We start from the raw sequence: 17,810 nt of genomic DNA, 5'->3' as shown, positions 1-17,810 counted from the left end.
CAGCTACTCAGGAGGCTGAGGCAGAAGAATGGCGTGAACCCGGGAGGTGGAGCTTGCAGTGAGCCAAGATCCTGCCACTGTACTCCAGCCTGGGTGAAAAAAAAAAAAAAAAGCACACTTTTTTGTTGTTGTTTCATTCATAGTTATAATTAAATAATTGGGTGTGTGTGTGTTCTGGCTCCTTCCCTAGACTATAAGCTACAAGAGGACAAGAAGCATGCCTATGATATTCAGGACCAAATCTTCAGTGCCTACTGCAGGGTCCTGTTTAACTAATTAATTAATAGGTACTCCAAAAATCATTTGTTGAAAGAGTAAATGGATGAAGAAGAAAAAGAAACAGAATATGTGGATGAGGCAACACTAAGAGGAAGATCCCGAGGTTGGGTAGAATGAGAATTTTCCAACCAAAGCCAGAAACAGATTCCATTGCCAAGACATACAAAGAGATTATTACTTTGGCAGCTGAAGTTGCCATCTTTCTGGGAGCCTTCTGGATTGGGATGAAAGCCTGCAATGCAGCCACAGCTGTAGGAGCCCAGGGCATTGGTGCAGATAGAATTAGGACCACAGGTTGATGGATCTTGGCGGCACTCATCAATATCTGCAAAGAACTGGAGAATATCAAGAAACCCAGAAGAGCAAAGAGAAATGTCTTTTCTGGATTGTCCATCAAACTCTCTGCTCACCTCTACATTCCACTCCTTGGTCTGTGAAATTCAACTGTCCATTGCTTGGTGCAAAGCCAGGGTGGCAGGTGCAAAAGTAGCTCCCAGGAGTGTTGGTGCATGTTGAATTGATGGGGCACATTTCAGTGCATTCATCAATATCTGTGGGGTACAGAATGGGTGTGGAGCCAAGTTGGCCAATGAGCCAACAAAATCATGCTTCCCTTTGCAAAATATGGAGTCATGTTTCACTAGAAAATGGTGTCCCAGCCAGGGACTACATTTCCTAGAACCCTCTGCATCTAGGTGAGGTCATGTGACTACTTTTCACTCATGGAATATGAGAGCCATGATATATGTCACTTCAGGGCCAAGGTGGTCAAGAAGTGGGTGTGACTTCTCTCCTCCCTCTTTCACCTCAACTGGCTAAACCAGGAACACCAAGGCTCTAAGGAATGCAAAAACCAAAAGATGGAGAGAGATTGAACTCCTTTATCACCATGTGGAGAAAAGCTGCCCACCAGCCAGGTATATCCATATTGAATTATTATGAGAGTGATACATTTCTATTATGCTAAGCTAGTAATGAGGCAGGAAACAGGACTCAACTCCAGATGAGGGACTCAGACACTGGACAAAATTGAGGACTAGCTAAAACAAGGACAGAGTGGAAGCAGCTTTCCATAAGACATGCCCACCAGTGTGCCAGGTCAGTTTACCATTGCCATGGCAATATTGGGGAGTTACTGCCCCTTTCTATGGCAATGACTCAATGACCCAAAAGTTACTACCCCTTCCCTAGAAATTTTTGCATAAACCACCTGTTAATCTGCATATTATTAAAAGTAGGTATAAGTATGACTGCAAAACTGCCCTGAGCTGCTGCTCTCTGCCTATGAAGTAGCCCTGCTCTGCAGGAGCTGTAACACTTACAGAACTGCAACACTGCCTCTTCAATAAAGCTGTTTTCTTCTACCTCTGGCTTGCCCTTGAATTCTCTCCTGGGCAAAGCCAAGAACCCTTGTGAGCTAAACCCCACTTTGGGGCTTACCTGTCCCGAATAAAAAATTAGCTGGGCATGGTGGCACACACCTGTAATCCCAGCTACTCAAGAGGCTGAGGCAAAAGAATTGCTTGAACCTGGGAGGCAGAGGTGGCAGTAAGCTGAGATCAAGCCACTGCACTCCAGCCTGGGCGACAGACCAAGACTCCGTCTCAAAAACAAAAAACAGGCTGGGCGCAGTGGCTCATGCCTGTAATCCAAACGCTTTGAGAAGCCGAGGCAGGCAGATTACCTGGGGTCAGGAGTTTGAGACCAGCCTGGCCAACACGGTGAAACCTTGTCTCTACTAAAAATACAAAAATTAGCTGGACATGGTGCCACATGCCTGTAATCCCATCTACTTGGGAGGCTGAGGCAGGAGAATTGCTTGAACCCAGGAGGGGGAGGTTGCAGTGAGCCGAGATTGTACCACTGCACTCCAGCCTGGGCAACAGAGCAAGACTCCATCTCAAAACAAAACCAAAAAACAAAAAAACCCCAAAAAAACAAAAAACAAACAAACAAACAAACAAAAAGAGGCACACAGTGGAGGGGTTGAGAACATGGACATTCTGGGTTCATAGCCTGGCTCTGTCACTTACAAGCTGTTTGTTCATGGGTGCTATGGACTGAATGGTGCCCCTCCTCCAAATTCCTATATGGAAGCCCTAAGCCCCAGTGGGATGTTATTTGGAGATGTTATTTACTGCTCTATCCCCAGTGCCTAGAATAGTGCCACGTATACTGTAAGTGCTCAAGAGGTATTTCTTTAATGAGTGAATGAATGATTATTGGCTTCAGATTTGCAGATGAAAGTCTCAAACTCAACCAAGACCCACCCTAATCCCCTCACTGCTGTCTTTTCAAACAGACTTGGACCTGACTTCTCAGAAGACACCCCCACCTACCTTCACACGATGCTTTGAGACCCTGGAAACTCAAGTGGCCACTGCTGGATTCAAATCCTGGGTTGCAGAAACAAGAGTAGTTTCCAACAGTGTTATTACAAGTTGCATGCTCTGGGCAAGCTCTTGGATCTGCACATTCATCCACGTCTGAAGAGTGGAAGAGAAAACCCAGGTCAAGGTAAATGAGAAAGCAAGGAGTAGAGACTACAAATAGGAGATGCACTCTGAGTGTTGATTTTCAGCAGACAGGGCTGATGCTCCCCAATATCCATGTTCCCCCCTTCTTCCCAGGCACACAGTGGGACATATTTCCCAGTTCCTTCTTTCAGTAGGCATGGCCATGAGAGCAAATTCTAGCCAATAGCATGTAAGCAGAAGGGTGGCAAATAGTTTCAAAACATAATTATCAGAAATTGGAAAAGTAGCCATAGTCCTTTACTTCTCTCTGTATTTACACCCCAAGATGTAGATTGTAAGAGATGTGACTTTACCATACCTTGCATTAAGAGGTGGAGTCTGTTTCTCTACCCCTTAAATACAGCTGGCCCTACGACTTGCACTGACCAATAGAAGACAGTGAAGTAATGAGGTGCTAATTCCAAACCTGGGCCTCAAGAGACCTGTTGGCTTCTGTTCATTCTATTGGGCCTCTGATCTCTGCCATATGAACAAGCCCCTGACTAGCCTAATGAAGAACAAAAGACCAAATGGGAGAGAAATGAATCATCCCAGATGAGCCCCAGACATGTGAGACCCATTCCCTCCTCCTTGTAATAATGTAACAATACAGCTGAGGACTGCATTCCCAGCTTCTCTTGCAGCTAGGTGTAGCTACATGGTGAAAATCTGGCTAAGGAGAATAAATAGAAGTGATGTGTGCACCATCTGGTCATGCCCTTGAAAAGAAAGAGCATACTCTACACTTCTTCTCCCTTTTCACCTGGGCTGGAAGATGGACAGAGTGGGGTGATCCATTCCCAACCATGGGGATGAGGCTCACACCTAAGGTGGCAGAGGCAACAAGACAAAAGCCCAGCCAAGGTCAGCTGACTGCAGACACAAGAACAAGACCAGTTGAGACCAAAAGATCTGGCTAGAATAGACCACTTAAAATGTCAACTCATGGAATCAAGCGCTAAATATATGGTGGTTGTTTTTAGACACTAATTTTTAAGACAATTTGTTACCCAGTGATAGCTCACTGCTACAAATGGAGTAGCAAAGGCAGAGATGATTTCAAACATCTCTTAAACTAAGCCAGGGGGATATAATGAGGGCTTGACCACTCCTTGCCTTTCTCAATGGAGTCACCATCCCATAAATGAATGTGGAGAATAACAATGCACTAGACACAGGAAGATGGAGCTCTTGTCTCTTGGTGAGGACATTCTGGCTGCAGTGTAGAGGATGGATTGGAGAGAATAAGACTGAAAAAGGCAAGACTAGAGAGGAGGCTGCTGCAGTGATGATCAAGCCTGAACCAAGGATGGAAAACAGTGGAGGAATTCAACACATATTTATTTATATATTTATTTTTGAGACAAGGTCTTGCTCTGTTATCCAGGCTGGAATGCAGTGATGCAAGCATAGTGCACTGCAGCCTCAACCTCCTGGTTTCAAGTGATCCTCCCACCTCAGCCTCCTGAGTAGCTGGGACCACAGGCACATGCCACCACACTTGGCTAATTTTCTAATTTTTTTTTTTTTTTTGTAGAGACAGGGTCTCACTATGTTGCCCAGGCTGGTCTCAAACTCTTGGTCTTAAGCGATTCTCCCATCTCAGCCTCCCTAAGTGCTGGTATTACAGGTGTGAGCCACCACACCCAGTCTCAAAACATATTTAGCAGGTAGATTCTCCAAGGTGTGATGACTGCTTTAATGTGAAGGGAGAGAAAAGATTAAAGATAACTTTCTTTTTTTTTTTTTTTGAGATGGAGTCTCGCTCTGTCACCCAGGCTGGAGCGCAGTGGTGTGATCTCGGCTCACTGCAAGCTCTGCCTCCTGGGTTCACACCATTCTCCTGCCTCAGCCTCTCAAGTAGCTGGGATTACAGGCACGTGCCACCAGGCCCAGCTATTTTTTTTTGTATTTTTAGTAGAGACGGGGTTTCACCTTGTTAGCCAGGATGGTCTCCATCTCCTGACCTCATGATCTGCCTGCCTTGGCCTCCCAAAGTGCTGAGATTACACGCAGGAGCCACTGCGCCCGGCTGATTAAAGATAACTTTCAACTGTTAATTCAAATACCTTTTAGGGGAACGTTCTGAAGTTTAGACTTTAGAATCTCCCCAGAATAGGTTTTGTGTGTTTTGTTCTTCTTGTTGTTGGGTATTTTTTTTTTTTGAAACAGAGTCTTGCTCTGTTGCCCAGGCTGGAGTGCAATGGCACAATCTCAGCTCACTCCAACCTCCGCCTCCCAGGTTCAAGCAATTCTCCTGCCTCAGCCTCCCGAGTAGCTGGGATTACAGGTGCCTGCCACCATGCCCGGCTAATTTTTTGTATTTTTAGTAGCGACAAGGTTTCACCATGTTCGCCAGGCTAGTCTTGAACTCCTGACCTCAAGTGATCCATCCGCCTTGGCCTCCCAAAGTGCTGGTATTACAGGCGTGAGCCACCGCGCCCAGCCCAGAATAAGGTTTTTCCACCTCAGCACTATTGGCATTTAGGGTCAGATTATTCTTGGTTGTGGGGGCCTTTCGGTGCATTATAGGATGTTTAGCAGCATCTCTGACCTCTTCCCATCAGATGCCATACACAGCACCTCTCCCCACCATCACCGGTTGAGACAATCAAAAATATCTCCAGATGTTGCCAATGTCCCCTGGGGAAAATATCGGTCTGGAGACAAGTGCACCCCATTATATTCTGATACCATTGTTTGACTTATAGTAGGTCCTCAGCAGGAGTTCAAATCCCAGCTCTTCCACTTAATATTTGCATATAGTTCACAGATCCTATAAAGCAATTACACAACTGAGATCACAAAGCAAGTAGCGAGCAACACTGTGACAGGAACAAAACCCTCAAATATCAATATTAACCTTGAACAGAAATGGCCTAATGCTACACTTAAAAGATATAGATTGTTAAACCAGATAAAAATTTTTGTAAAAAAGACCAAACCATGTGCTGCCTACAAGAGACCTACCTAACATGTAAAGACACCCACAGGCCCAAAGTAAAGGGATAGAAAAATATATAGGCAACTATATATTTTTACCTCTCTGAGCCCCAATTTTCTCATCCCTACATGAGAAAATCCCTTTCTCATATGGTCTTCCAGTGAGATGACCCTTAATTAATTAAGCAGGTAAATAATAAAGAGATAGAGTTTCTAGAGATGAATCCAACTTGACAGCTGCAATTGTAGCTTCCCATGGAGTTGACACAGTCAGAATGCTCAGGGCAGACGCTGCTGGTGAGGGACTCACTGATATTTGCAAAGCAGTGAAAGAGGGTGAGCAGATAAGAAATTGGGTGCCTCAGTTCAGAAATACATGAACTCACCCCACTGATAGATATCCACTCAAGACCCATCCCTGGGAACCTGAGGGCATCACCAGTACAGGAGAAATTGCCCGGCTTTCCTGGGATCCAGTCATTTCCAGTGGGAGAAGAGAAACCATCTAAACAGCTGCACTTGTACCTCCCTGACATGTTTTTGCAGGATGAATTAGGACCACAGGGCTGGGGGCTTTGAGAACATTCATCAATATCTAGACAGAGAATTGGAGTTACAAATTCACTTATACTAGATAGAAGACTGTATTTTGCCAAAAAAAAAAGTTAAAACAATATCTCCCATCCCATATGCGCTTCACTTTGGTACTTCTTCTGTCAAGCAATGGAAGGTACGTCCCCATCTTGAATCTGAGCATACTTGTGACTATGGTGGAAGTGACACTAGGTCATAAAAATATCATGTACTTCCACCTTGTTCTCTTGGGATGCTTATCCTTGGAATCCAGCCACCATATTGTGAGGAAACTCAACCATCCATGAAATTTTACAGTGACCAGGAATTATTTACATGATCAGAGAGAGGAAGGGTGGGGAAGTAGGAAGGAAGGAAGGAAGGAAGGAAGGAAGGAAGGAAGGAAGGAAGGAAATCATGTTTGCTAGCAATACTAGCTAGCAATGCTGTGACAGGAACAAAACCCTCAAATATCAATATTAACCTTGAATAGAAATGGCCTAATGCTCCACTTAAAAGATATAGATTGTTAAACCAGATAAAAAATTTTTTAAAAAGACCCAACCATGTGCTGGCTACAAGAGACCTACCTAGCATGTAAAGACACCCACAGGCTCAAAGTAAAGGGATAGAAAAAGATATAAGCAACTATATATTTTTACCTCTCTGAGCCCCAATTTTCTTATCCCTACATGAGAAAATCCCTTTCTCATATGGTCTTCCAGTGAGATGACCCTTAATTAATTAAGTAGGTAAATAATAAAGAGATGGTCATGGATACCTTCACAGGTGGAGTTTCTAGAGATGAATCCAACTTGACAGCTGCAACTGTAGCTTCCCATGGAGTTGACACAGTCAGAATGCTCAGGGCAGACGCTGCTGGTGAGGCACTCATTGATATCTGAGAAGCAGTGGAAGAGGGTGAGCAGATAAGAAATTGGGTGCCTCAGTTCAGAAATACATGAACTCACCCCACTGATAGATATCCACCCAAGACCCATCCCTGGGAACCTGAGAGCATTACCAGTACAGGAGAAATTGCCCGGCTTTCCTGGGACCCAGTCATTTCCAGTGGGAGAAGAGAAACCATCTAAACAGCTGCACTTGTACCTCCCTGACAGGTTTTTGCAGGATGAGTTAGGACCACAGGGCTGGGGGCTTTGAGAACATTCATCAATATCTAGACAGAGAATTGGAGTTACAAATTTACTTATACTAGATAGAAGACTGTATTTTGCAAAAAAAAAAAAAAAAAAAGTTAAAACAATATCTCCCATCCCATATGCACTTCACTTTGGTACTTCTTCTGTCAAGCAATGGAAGGTATGTCCCCATCTTGAATCTGAGCATACTTGTGACTATGGTGGAAGTGACACTAGGTCATAAAAATATCATGTAGTTCTACCTTGTTCTCTTGGGATGCTTATCCTTGGAATCCAGCCACCATATTGTGAGGAAACTCAACCATCCATGAAATTTTACAGTGACCAGGAATTATTTACATGATCAAAGAGAGGAAGGGTGGGGAAGTAGCAAGGAAGGAAGGAAGGAAGGAAGAAAATCATGTTTGCTAGCAACACTAGCTAGCAATGCTGTGACAGTAACAACACCCCCACATATCAATATTAACCTTGAACAGAAATGACCTAATACTCCACTTAAAATATATAGTTAAACCAGATTTAAAAAAAAATGGGGGGTGGGGGAGTACCTACATTCAATACCCAGCCAGCTTTGACTTGATTTTCCTACCAAATGCTGGATGGTTTGAGGGGACATGAACTCACCTTTGCATCGCACTCCTGGATCCTTGAAGTGATTTTGCCCATTGCTGGACAGGAAGCCTTGTTTGCAAGCGCAATAGTAACTGTCCACTGTATTGGTGCAGGTGGCATAAGCTGGGCACAAGGTACTGTCTCTACAGTTATTACCTAGGCAGTGTATAAAGAAAAGTTTAGACAAGATTAGAGCATTAGAGTGAGGCTGCAAGGGAACCCAGCATACAAGGGTGGAGGTGACTGTTATGGGTTGGATTGTGTTCCTCCCAAAAGATACGTTACAGTCCTAAACCCTGGTACCTGTGAATTTCATCTTATTTGGAAACTGGGTCTTTGTAGATGCAATTAAGATAAAAGTTAAGATGAAGTAGTGCTGGAGTAGGGTGGGCCACAGGTGTCCTTATAAGAAGAGAAGAGACACACAGACATGCACAGGGACAGTGCCATGCAACAGTGCAAACCGGGATCAGAGTGATATGTCTAGAAGCCAAGGAACACCAAGGATTGCCAGCAATAACAAAAGCCTTAAAAAAAGGCATGGAACAGATTCTGCCCTATAGCCTTTGGAGAAAGACTGGCCCTGCCAATACCTTGAATTCACACTTCTGGACTCCAGAACTTGAAGAGAATAAATTTCTGTCATTTTAAGCAGCCCTAGGAAACGGATACAGCAACCAATCATATTTAACCATGTACCTCAAAGATCCTAGACCCTTTCTACTCAGAGTAGGGTCTGTGAGTCAGCCACATAAGCATCTCCTGGGAGTTAGATGGAAATGCAAAATCCATTGAATCAGAATCTGCATTTGAACAAGATCCCAGGTGATGTGTGCGCACAGGGAAGTTTGAGAAGCACTCATCTGGATCCTTGCTACCCAAAGTATCCACAGACCAGTATCACCTGCCTCCCCTTGGATTCCAAGAACATCTTGGAAAATCAGGTACTAATTCAGCAGGTCTGGGGAAGGGGGCCGGGGATTTTGCATTTCTAACAAGTGCCTGGAGGATGCCAATTCTGTTGCTCCATGGATCACACCATGAACATCCAAGCACTAGACAGAAAAGTGTGAGAGTGAAAACTGCAAATTTCGGGACAAGGCAGATCTGAGTTCAAGTTCCAGCAGCAAACCTCAAAGCCAAGAATGGTGGCTGTTCCCCCAAATCCATTCCACCCTCTTCCTTATAATAATAGAACCATCCAGTTTAGGACTGCATTCCCAGCTTCTCTTGCAGCTAGCTGTGGCCACCTGGTGAAAATCTGGCCAAGGAGAATGAATAGAAGTGATGTGTGTACTGTCTGGTCATGCCCTTGAAAAGAAAGAGCATACTCCACACTTTTTCTCCCTTTTCACATGGGCTGGAAGATGGACAGACTGGGGTGATCCATTTCCAACCACGGGGATGAGGCTCACGCCTAAGATTGGAGAGGCAACAAGGCAAAAGGCACCTGGGAGATGGAATGACCTCCTAGGCAAGGTTGTTCCACGACGCTGTTCCATCTTCAAGTTGGAGATTTATGAGACAGATAAAAATAAACATCTGCATTGTTTCATTCATAGTTATTTTGTTTCTATGGAAACAATCAACACTCTATCCTAGCCAATCCAGTCTTGGGACAAGTGATTTCACGTGTCTGTACCTCAGGTTGCCTGTTTAGCCACCACATTTAATAAGCCTCCAAGCCCTGTTGATCCCCCTTCCCAAATATAATTTGACAATTACCCATTTAACCCCACCACCTTGGCTATGCCTGATCCAGATCTTCCTCTGAATTTAACATTTCTATATACCCCATTGTCCTCCACAATCTTCTACTCCACACCATGGTCATCTCTGAATGCACATTTGATCTCCCACCTCCACCCCTTGCCTATAATGCTCTTTGTTCTCCTTAGAAATAAAACTCAAATTACTCAACATGAACTGCAAAGCCCCCAGTGACCAGACCCAACCACATCATTCAGCCTCATCATGTCAGTTTCTCTTTGCACTCCATTTCTAGCCTTCCTACCACAGGGCCTTTGCACATGCTGTTCCCTCTGCCTCTGCTTTGCCTGGCCAGCTTCCACTCATTTTTCAGATCTTGCTTTAGCATCACTTCCTCCAGGAAGCCTTCCCTGACTCCTCCACAGCTCCCTGAGCTCTTCTTTTATGGAATTCATCAAAACCGTGACTGCTTGATTGTTTCAGTGAGTTGCTCCTTCATGGCCACCTTCACCACCACACTGTGAGCTTCAAAAGGACAAGACCACAGGTGGGAGCAGGCTCCCAGGTGCTAGGAAAGAGGCTCACTTGCTGCTGTCATCCTTGTGGCAGGCAGAATAACAGACCCTTCCAAGAGGACCATGTCCTAATCCCTGGAACCTGTGAATATGTTATGGTCCATGGCGAAGGAGGAATTAAGGTTGCAGATGGAATTAAGGTTGCTAATCATGCTGATCTCAAGATGGGCATATTATCTTGGATCATCCAGGGGCAATGAATGTAACCACAAGAGTCTTTATAAGTGAAAGCTGAAACCAAGAAAAGCATTGTCAGAGTGATGTGATGTAAGAAAGAGCTGGCCAGCCACTGCTGGCTTTGAAGTTGGGGGAAGGGGACATGAGCCAAGAAACATGGTTGACCCTAGATACAGGAAAAAGTAAGAAAATAGTTCTTCCGTACAGCATCCAGAAGGAACGCAGCCCTGCCATTGCCTCTATTTTAGCCCAGTGGGACCCATTTCAGACTTCTGACCTCCAGAATGATAGGTAAGTTTTTTTTGTTTTAAGCGACCAAGTTTGTGGCAATTTGTTACAGCAGCCACAGGAAATGGGCACCATTCCCAATACCCATATGTGAAAATAAAACATGACTCAGAGAGGTTGAGTGACTTACCCAAAGACACACAACCACATCTGCTGGAGAGCAGCAGAGCCAGACCTTTCAAAATCCAAAGTACATGCAAGAGATGGAATCAACCTAAGTGTCTATCAGTGGATGAATGGGTGAGGAAGATGTCGTATATGTACTCAATAGAATATCATTCAGCCATAAGAAATAATGAAATCGGGCAGGCGTGATGGCTCACGCCTGTAATCCCAGCACACTGGGAGGCCAAGGCGGGCAGATCACCTGAGATCGGGAGTTCGAGACCAGCCTGACCAACATGAAGAAGCCCCCGTCTCTACTAAAAATAAAAAAAAATTAGCCAGGCATGGTGGTTCATGCCTGTAATCCCAACTACTCAGGAGGCTGAGGCAGGAGAATCACTTGAACTGGGGAGGCGGAGGTTGTGGTGACCCAAGATTGCGCCATTGCACTCCAGCCTGGGCAACAAGAGCAAAACTCCGTCTCAAAAAAATAAAAAATAAAAAAAGAAAGAAAGAATGAAATCCCATCCTTTGCAGAAACATGGATGGAACTGGAGGACTGGAGGACATTATGTTAAGTGAAATAAACCAGACACAGAAAGACAAATATTGCATGTTCTCGTTCCTACGTGGGAGCTAAAAATCATCATCATCATTATCTAATGGAGGTAGAGAGCAGAATGACAATTACCAGAGGCTGGAAAGGATAGTGGGGAAGGGGGATAAAGAGGGATTGACTGGTTGGTACAAAAACCACAGTTAGATGGAAGGAATGAGATCGAGTGCTCAGTAGCACAGTAGGGCAACTACCTATGAGTCAGGACATGTGACATTTGTCTTTCTGTGCCTGGTTTGTTTCACTTAATGACCTCCAGTTTCATCCATGTTGCTGCAAATTGTGGAATGTCATTCTTTTTATGGCCGAATAGCAATCCGTTGTGTATGCAGACCACATTGAGTTCAACCATTCATCTGTTGACGGACACTGAGGTGGATTCCATATCTTGACTATTGTGAATAGTGGAGTTGGGTTTTTTATCAAAGAAAGATGGGAGTCATGGGAGGATTTCGAGCAGAGTAGGGACACAACATAAGGTTTTAACATGAGCCTTCTGGCCACTGGTTGGAAGACGAACTATAGAAGATCAGAAATAAACTGACCAAGGAGGGGGTGACTGCACTTGTCCAGGTGAAAGATGTCAGTAGATACAACCCAGAGGGAATCAATGAAGGGAATGCAATTCAGGATTTTTTTAAAGCAACACTAACAAAATTTGCCGATGGATTGGATGTGAGGAGTGAAAAGAGAGGAACCAACGATAATGCCAACATCAATTAGGAGTATGGAAAAACTAAAAAGTATCATAAAAACAGAAGGAATGGATTATCGTGATTGTGACATTATTCACCCTGTTTTTGTTACACATTTGGTTTTGAGATCTACGTTCTTTGCTCCTATAATGTGCCTTGTTTATTTCCCTTCCCTGCATGAGGCCTCAGATGGTATCTCTCTTCTCATTTCCAGCTTCCTCTTTCATCTGTAGAGGCAACATTTCTCTATGCAGACTTCCGGCATTTTATCACTTGTGGTCTCTTAATGCTGTAAGTTTCCCATCATTCTCTTCCACTAGCCCTCTCCCTCACAACTGAAACCCACCAAGGTCAGAGTAACAACCCGGTCTTGTGGGACTAGGTACCTGTCCACCTCCCCATCTCATCTCCTGCCCTGTGTCATCAGTCACACTCACCTTCGCTCGGTCCTCCAAATTCTTTCCAACCTCAGGACCTTTGCACCCACCGTTCTGGCCACCAGACATGCCCTATCCCACCCTGCCCCTTTGCCTGGGTAACATCAATTCATCCATCCTTTAAGTCCACTGGAACATCACTTCCTTGAGAAAATTTTCCCAACCATCTCAATAAAGCCCTTTTGAAAAAGTCCTACAAAGGGGCCAGGCGCAGTGGCTCATGCCTGTAATCCCAGCACTTCGGAAGGCTGGGGTGAGCAGATCACCTAAGGAGTTCAAGACCAGCCTGGTTTCTAGTGAAACCCCGTCTCTACTAAAAATACAAAAAAATTAGCCAGGCGTGGTGGCGGGCGCCTGTAGTCCCAGCTACTCGGGAGGCTGAGGCAGGAGAATGGCGTGAACCTGGAAGGCGGAGCTTGCAGTGAACCGAGATCGCACCACTGCACTCCAGCCTGGGCAACAGAGCGAGAATCTATCTCAAAAAAAAAAAAAAAATGTGAAAGATGAGCTGTTAACACAATATAGACCAAGTTGCTAAGTTGCCCAAAGAAGAACCAGGAAACAGAGACACTGGGAACAGTTGTATTAGTCTGTTTTCATGCTGCTAATAAAGACATACCCGAGACTAGGTAATTTATAAGGGAACGAGGTTTAATTTGACTCACTGTTGCACATGGCTGGGGAGGCTTCACAATCATGAGGAGCAAAATTATGTCTTACTTACATGGCAGGAGGCAAGAGAGCTTGTGCGGGGATCTCCCATTTATAAAACCATCAGATCTCGTGAGACTTACTCACTACCACGAGAACAGTATGGGGGAAACCATCCCCCATGATTCAATTATCTCCAACTGGCCCCGCCCTTGACACGTGGGGATTCTTACAATTTAAGGTGAGATTTGGGTGAGGACATAGCCAAACCATATCAACAACTACGAACTGACAATGTCTTTCTTCCTTTATCCAGCAAGAGTTTATGTAGATGAGAGTATTTAACAAAACATAAAGAAGTCACTTTTTTTTTGCACATTGAGTTGTAGTTTGAGTAAATTCCATCCCTACTCTCACTACACTACCATTTATAAAGCTCATACTACATACCAGGTGGTTTCCAAAGCTACCTCTTTGAATTAAAGTTTCACAACATCCCTATTGTTATCTGTATTTCACAGCTTGGGAAACTGAAGTTCAGAGAGGTTATGTGACTTATCTGAGATCACACAGCAATTCTAAGCACAAAGGAAAGAGCCTGAAGTGAGAATCAGGAGACTTGCATGTTAACCCTTGCTCTGCCGCTAACTAGCTCCCAGCAAGCATCTGGATGAGGCTCAGCTTCCTGGGATGTTTCCCCGGGGAGAAAACTTTCTCTACCCCTTCAGGCATCTGCATTCTCTCTGGCCAACTTACCCTTTGTGTTTGGTTTCCGTGTGGGTCTTATGTGCCCTTCCCAGCTGTGCATAACACAACATCCTGTGAAGAAAGAAAAGAAAAACACCATGAACCACCAAAAAAAAAAAAAAAAAAAAAAACCTTTTGGGCTCAACCTGCAAAATTACTCCTGGCTTGGCCCCACAGAAATAGGTTTGAAGAGGCTAGATGACAAACCTAGTTAAGGAACAAACATACACTATTTTGCATAAGCTTAACAATGACCATTCCTGGTTTTCTGTACTTTGCTTTTGCTTTTCATTTTGTCTGTCTTTATCTTCTTTTTCTTTTTGATTAAATAGTTCCAGGCTAAGCACTGTGGTGCACACCTATAATCCCAGCCCTTCGGGAGGCCAAGGTGGGAGGATCACTTGAGACCAGCAGTTTGACACCGGCCTGGACAACACAGTGAGACTTTGTCTCTACAAAAAAAAAATTTTTTAAATTAGCTGGGTGGTGGTGACAACTTGTAGCCCCAGCTACTCAGGAGGCTGAGGTGGAAGGATTGCTTGAGCCCAGGAGATAGAGACTGCAGTGAGCCAAGATCATGCCACTGCGCTCCAGCCTAGGTGACCCTGTCTAAAAAAAAAAGTTCTAGCTGATTTTCAAAAACATACATTAAAGCATGCATTCTCAAAAGGGGTGATATATCCTCTAAGGACCCAAACTTGGTTCTCAGGAAGAGATCTTTTTAAGCTTACTCTTTTATGTATAAGATACATATGTATATATAGAAAATACATATATAGGTATACAGTATATCTGTAGTATTAACATTTCATGAGAGGGTAGGGCAATTCGTTTTTCTTTCCTTTTTTTTTTTTTTTTTTTTTTTGAGATGGAGTCTCACTCTGTCACCAGGCTGGAGTGCAGTAGCGTGATCTAGGCTCACTGCAACCACCAACTCCCTGGTTCAAGCTATTCTCCTGCCTCAGCCTCCCGAGTAGCTGGGATTACAAGCACGCACCACCACGCCCAGCTAATTTTTGCATTTTTAGTAGAAACGGGGTTTCTCCATGTTGGCCAGGATGGTCTCGATCTCCTGACCTCATGATCTGCCTGCCTCAGCCTCCTAAAGTGCTGGGATTACAAGCGTGAGCCACTGCGCCCTGCCCATTTTTTAGTGTTTAAAGGCAATGCAGCCCTGCAGCATTTAGGTCTCCTGCACCATCATCATTATCGCCATCATTATCACTATCATCATCACCATCATCATCTTCATCATCACCATCATCATCATCATTATTATCACCATCATCACCATTATCATCATCACCATCACCATTATCACCATCACCACCATCATCATCATCACCACCATAATCACCAACATCACCATCTTCATCGTCATTATCACACCATCATCACCACCATCATCATCATTATCCCTATCATCACCATTATCATCATCACCATCATCACCATCTTCATGGTCATTATCACACCATCATCATCACCATCATCTTCATTATCACTATCATCACCATTATCATCATCATCATCATCACCATCACCATCATCATCACCATTTTCATCATCACTATTATAACCACCACCATCATGATCATTATCATCACTATCATTATCACAACTCTTTGCTGATTATCTTCAGGGCAGAATAGGGAGTGTTAATGGTTAATACCATTGCCAACACCCCAAAATAACAACTCTGCATGCCTACATTTGATGTCCACAGGCCACCTATTTCTTCTAATGTAGCCTGCCAGTCAACAAGTCCCACAGATCTAAACTCCCAAATTCTATCTATTATTACTAACAAAAATTCTTCTACTCATTCATTAATTATTTTAGAGGTAATTCAGCATGCTGTTTAGGCATACAAAGTCTGAAGTCAAAGTGCTTAGGTTTAAAAATCTGGCTTCACCAATTAATGATTGCGTGGCCTTGAGGAAGTTATTTAATCTCTTTGTGCCTCAGTTTCCTCCTTGGTAAAATAGGGTATTCAGATCCACTCTTCAACAGCAGAGGAAACCCATACTTGCTACTTAGAATATGTCCCCAATATCCTCCATTCTTAAATTTGATCCAATGACCAAAACACACAAGACATAGAAGAAAAACCAGAAACACAGAAGATAAACAAGGCTGAGACAAACTGACACCTGAAGAAAGAGAAATAAGAGCACAGGAAGGGTCTATCTCATCCTTCAGGACTCAGCTCGAACTGCCCCTCCTCAACCCCAGACTTCTCCCTTCAACATAACTCCCGACCACATTCTATAACAACTTCTTTCATAGCACTTATCACTACCTGAAATTCCTATGTTTACTTATTTTTTGGGGCAACATAGTATAGTGGAAAAGCTTACAGACTCTGAAGTCAGACTGTCTGGCTTGAAATCCTGCCTCTACCCCTTATTGACTAAGTGGCCTTGGGAAAATTATTTTATCTCTTTTGCCTCAGTTTTCTCATTTGCAAAATAGGACTAATAATGACCCAATGTCATAGAAATGTTGTGACAATTGGATACACTCTATGTTTAAAGAAGTTACAGCAGTGCTAAGTGGGCTATGATCATCTGTGCCTTCTTTCCTGTCTGCTCCTACCCACTAGAATATCAGCCTCAAGAGTGCAGGAACTTAGTCTTTTTTTCTCACTGCTATATCCTCTAGTGCCTAGAACAGCACCTGACACACAGGACTTGCTCAGGTCAAATGAATGACTATAGAGAAAAATCTATCCTAACAGATGGACTTCCCTGAGCTATGGAATTTTGTCAAAGGTTCCCTGAATGAAGGTGTTTGCAGCATCCAGTCTGGACTTATGATCTCTTGGCTGGACCATCCATGGCCCTCCCATTTCTCCTGAAGTCTATTTCCAATCCAGGCCTCCCCTAGCCCCCCATTCAGCCTCACACTCACCCCAGAAGAGGAGCAGGTTGAAGCCACGCATTATGCTGTAGTTCTGTCATTCAAAGAAAAGAAACTTTTCTACTAACGCTGGGTTTTCAGTAACCAGAAGGTGTGCGAAGAGGGGAAGGCGGAGTCAGAGTTGCTCAATGCTGCCTGGTCATCATAGCCCTTTTTGCTGACTTGCTGCAACTAAAAGACAGCCTAGAAAATCCTAATTTCCCCCTTTCTTCACAATAAAGAGAAGTTAATCTGCCTAATGTATATCATTCTCTCTCTCTCTCCTTCCCATGGTCTCTCCCTTTTTCTTTCCCATCAACATCTATCTCCCATCTCTCAACACCTTCTTTCATTGCACCCAATAAAGGAGCTTCCGCTTCCTGCCTCCAGTGAAGCAAATCTCAGCCTTTAGGGTCTCTTCCCAGTCTCCCGTATAAAGACAGCCATCACAACCATCATGTACCAGGCAGTGTGCTAGGCACATTGGCAACAAAGTGTAATTTCATTATCATGTTAACCTTGTAAAGTAGGAATTCCCCTCCCTCCCTCTATTCACCAACAAAATGGAAACTGAGACTTGCAGAGGAGTTATAACTTGTCCAAGATCTCTCAGACTTGAGATTTGAACCCAGGACCCTCTGATTCCAGAGTCAAGAGCTTTAACCATCTTATTTTCCTTCAGATCTCAACTCTGTCTGACGATTATACAGCAACACTTCCACCCCATTCCCAGCTTCCTAACTCTCTCTGGTAACATCTTAGGGTCTCACAAGGGCAGACCCTCAGACAAGGATTCTAGCAAAAGTAGTTTATCAAGAAGGT

General features: G+C 44.0%; 1 protein-coding gene and 1 long non-coding RNA gene across 7 annotated transcripts in view, besides 1 other annotated feature; one reads left to right on the top strand and one right to left on the bottom strand.

The window, feature by feature from the left end:
- The window catches only part of LOC105372256 (uncharacterized), a 36,712-nt gene extending 34,064 nt beyond the window's left edge, over positions 1–2,648 (top strand). The window contains exon 3 of the long non-coding RNA XR_936288.4: positions 2,582–2,648. This is a non-coding gene — a long non-coding RNA (uncharacterized LOC105372256). The remainder of the gene's footprint in view (positions 1–2,581) is intronic.
- The window catches only part of ADGRE1 (adhesion G protein-coupled receptor E1), a 52,872-nt gene extending 35,811 nt beyond the window's left edge, over positions 1–17,061 (bottom strand). For 2 of the 6 annotated variants that reach the window (NM_001974.5, NM_001256253.2), the window contains exons 1-8: positions 17,001–17,061; positions 14,097–14,159; positions 8,099–8,242; positions 7,336–7,491; positions 7,093–7,212; positions 2,619–2,765; positions 690–830; positions 458–604 (exon numbers count right to left, since the gene is read on the bottom strand). In NM_001974.5, coding sequence (NP_001965.3) covers positions 458–604; positions 690–830; positions 2,619–2,765; positions 7,093–7,212; positions 7,336–7,491; positions 8,099–8,242; positions 14,097–14,159; positions 17,001–17,031 — 949 coding nt within the window. In that variant the 5' untranslated portion in view covers positions 17,032–17,061. Of the gene's footprint in view, positions 1–457; positions 605–689; positions 831–2,618; positions 2,774–5,942; positions 6,055–6,177; positions 6,334–7,092; positions 7,213–7,335; positions 7,492–8,098; positions 8,243–14,096; positions 14,160–17,000 lie in introns of all 6 variants that reach the window. The other 4 variants (XM_011527794.2, NM_001256252.2, NM_001256255.2 and 1 more) reach the window with 4 other exon arrangements.
- Positions 17,008–17,067: an enhancer, noted in NCBI's record as "active region_13868". NCBI's record gives its function as "activates an Ori minimal core promoter by ATAC-STARR-seq in GM12878 lymphoblastoid cells {active_cell/tissue: GM12878}" and the evidence as "EXISTENCE:reporter gene assay evidence [ECO:0000049][PMID:35858748]".

Source organism: Homo sapiens, chromosome 19, assembly GCF_000001405.40.
Source record: "Homo sapiens chromosome 19, GRCh38.p14 Primary Assembly".
In the NCBI taxonomy this organism is placed as follows: domain Eukaryota; kingdom Metazoa; phylum Chordata; class Mammalia; order Primates; family Hominidae; genus Homo; species Homo sapiens.
Note: the sequence above shows the minus strand (reverse complement) of the source record. Positions and strands in the feature narration are given on the sequence as shown.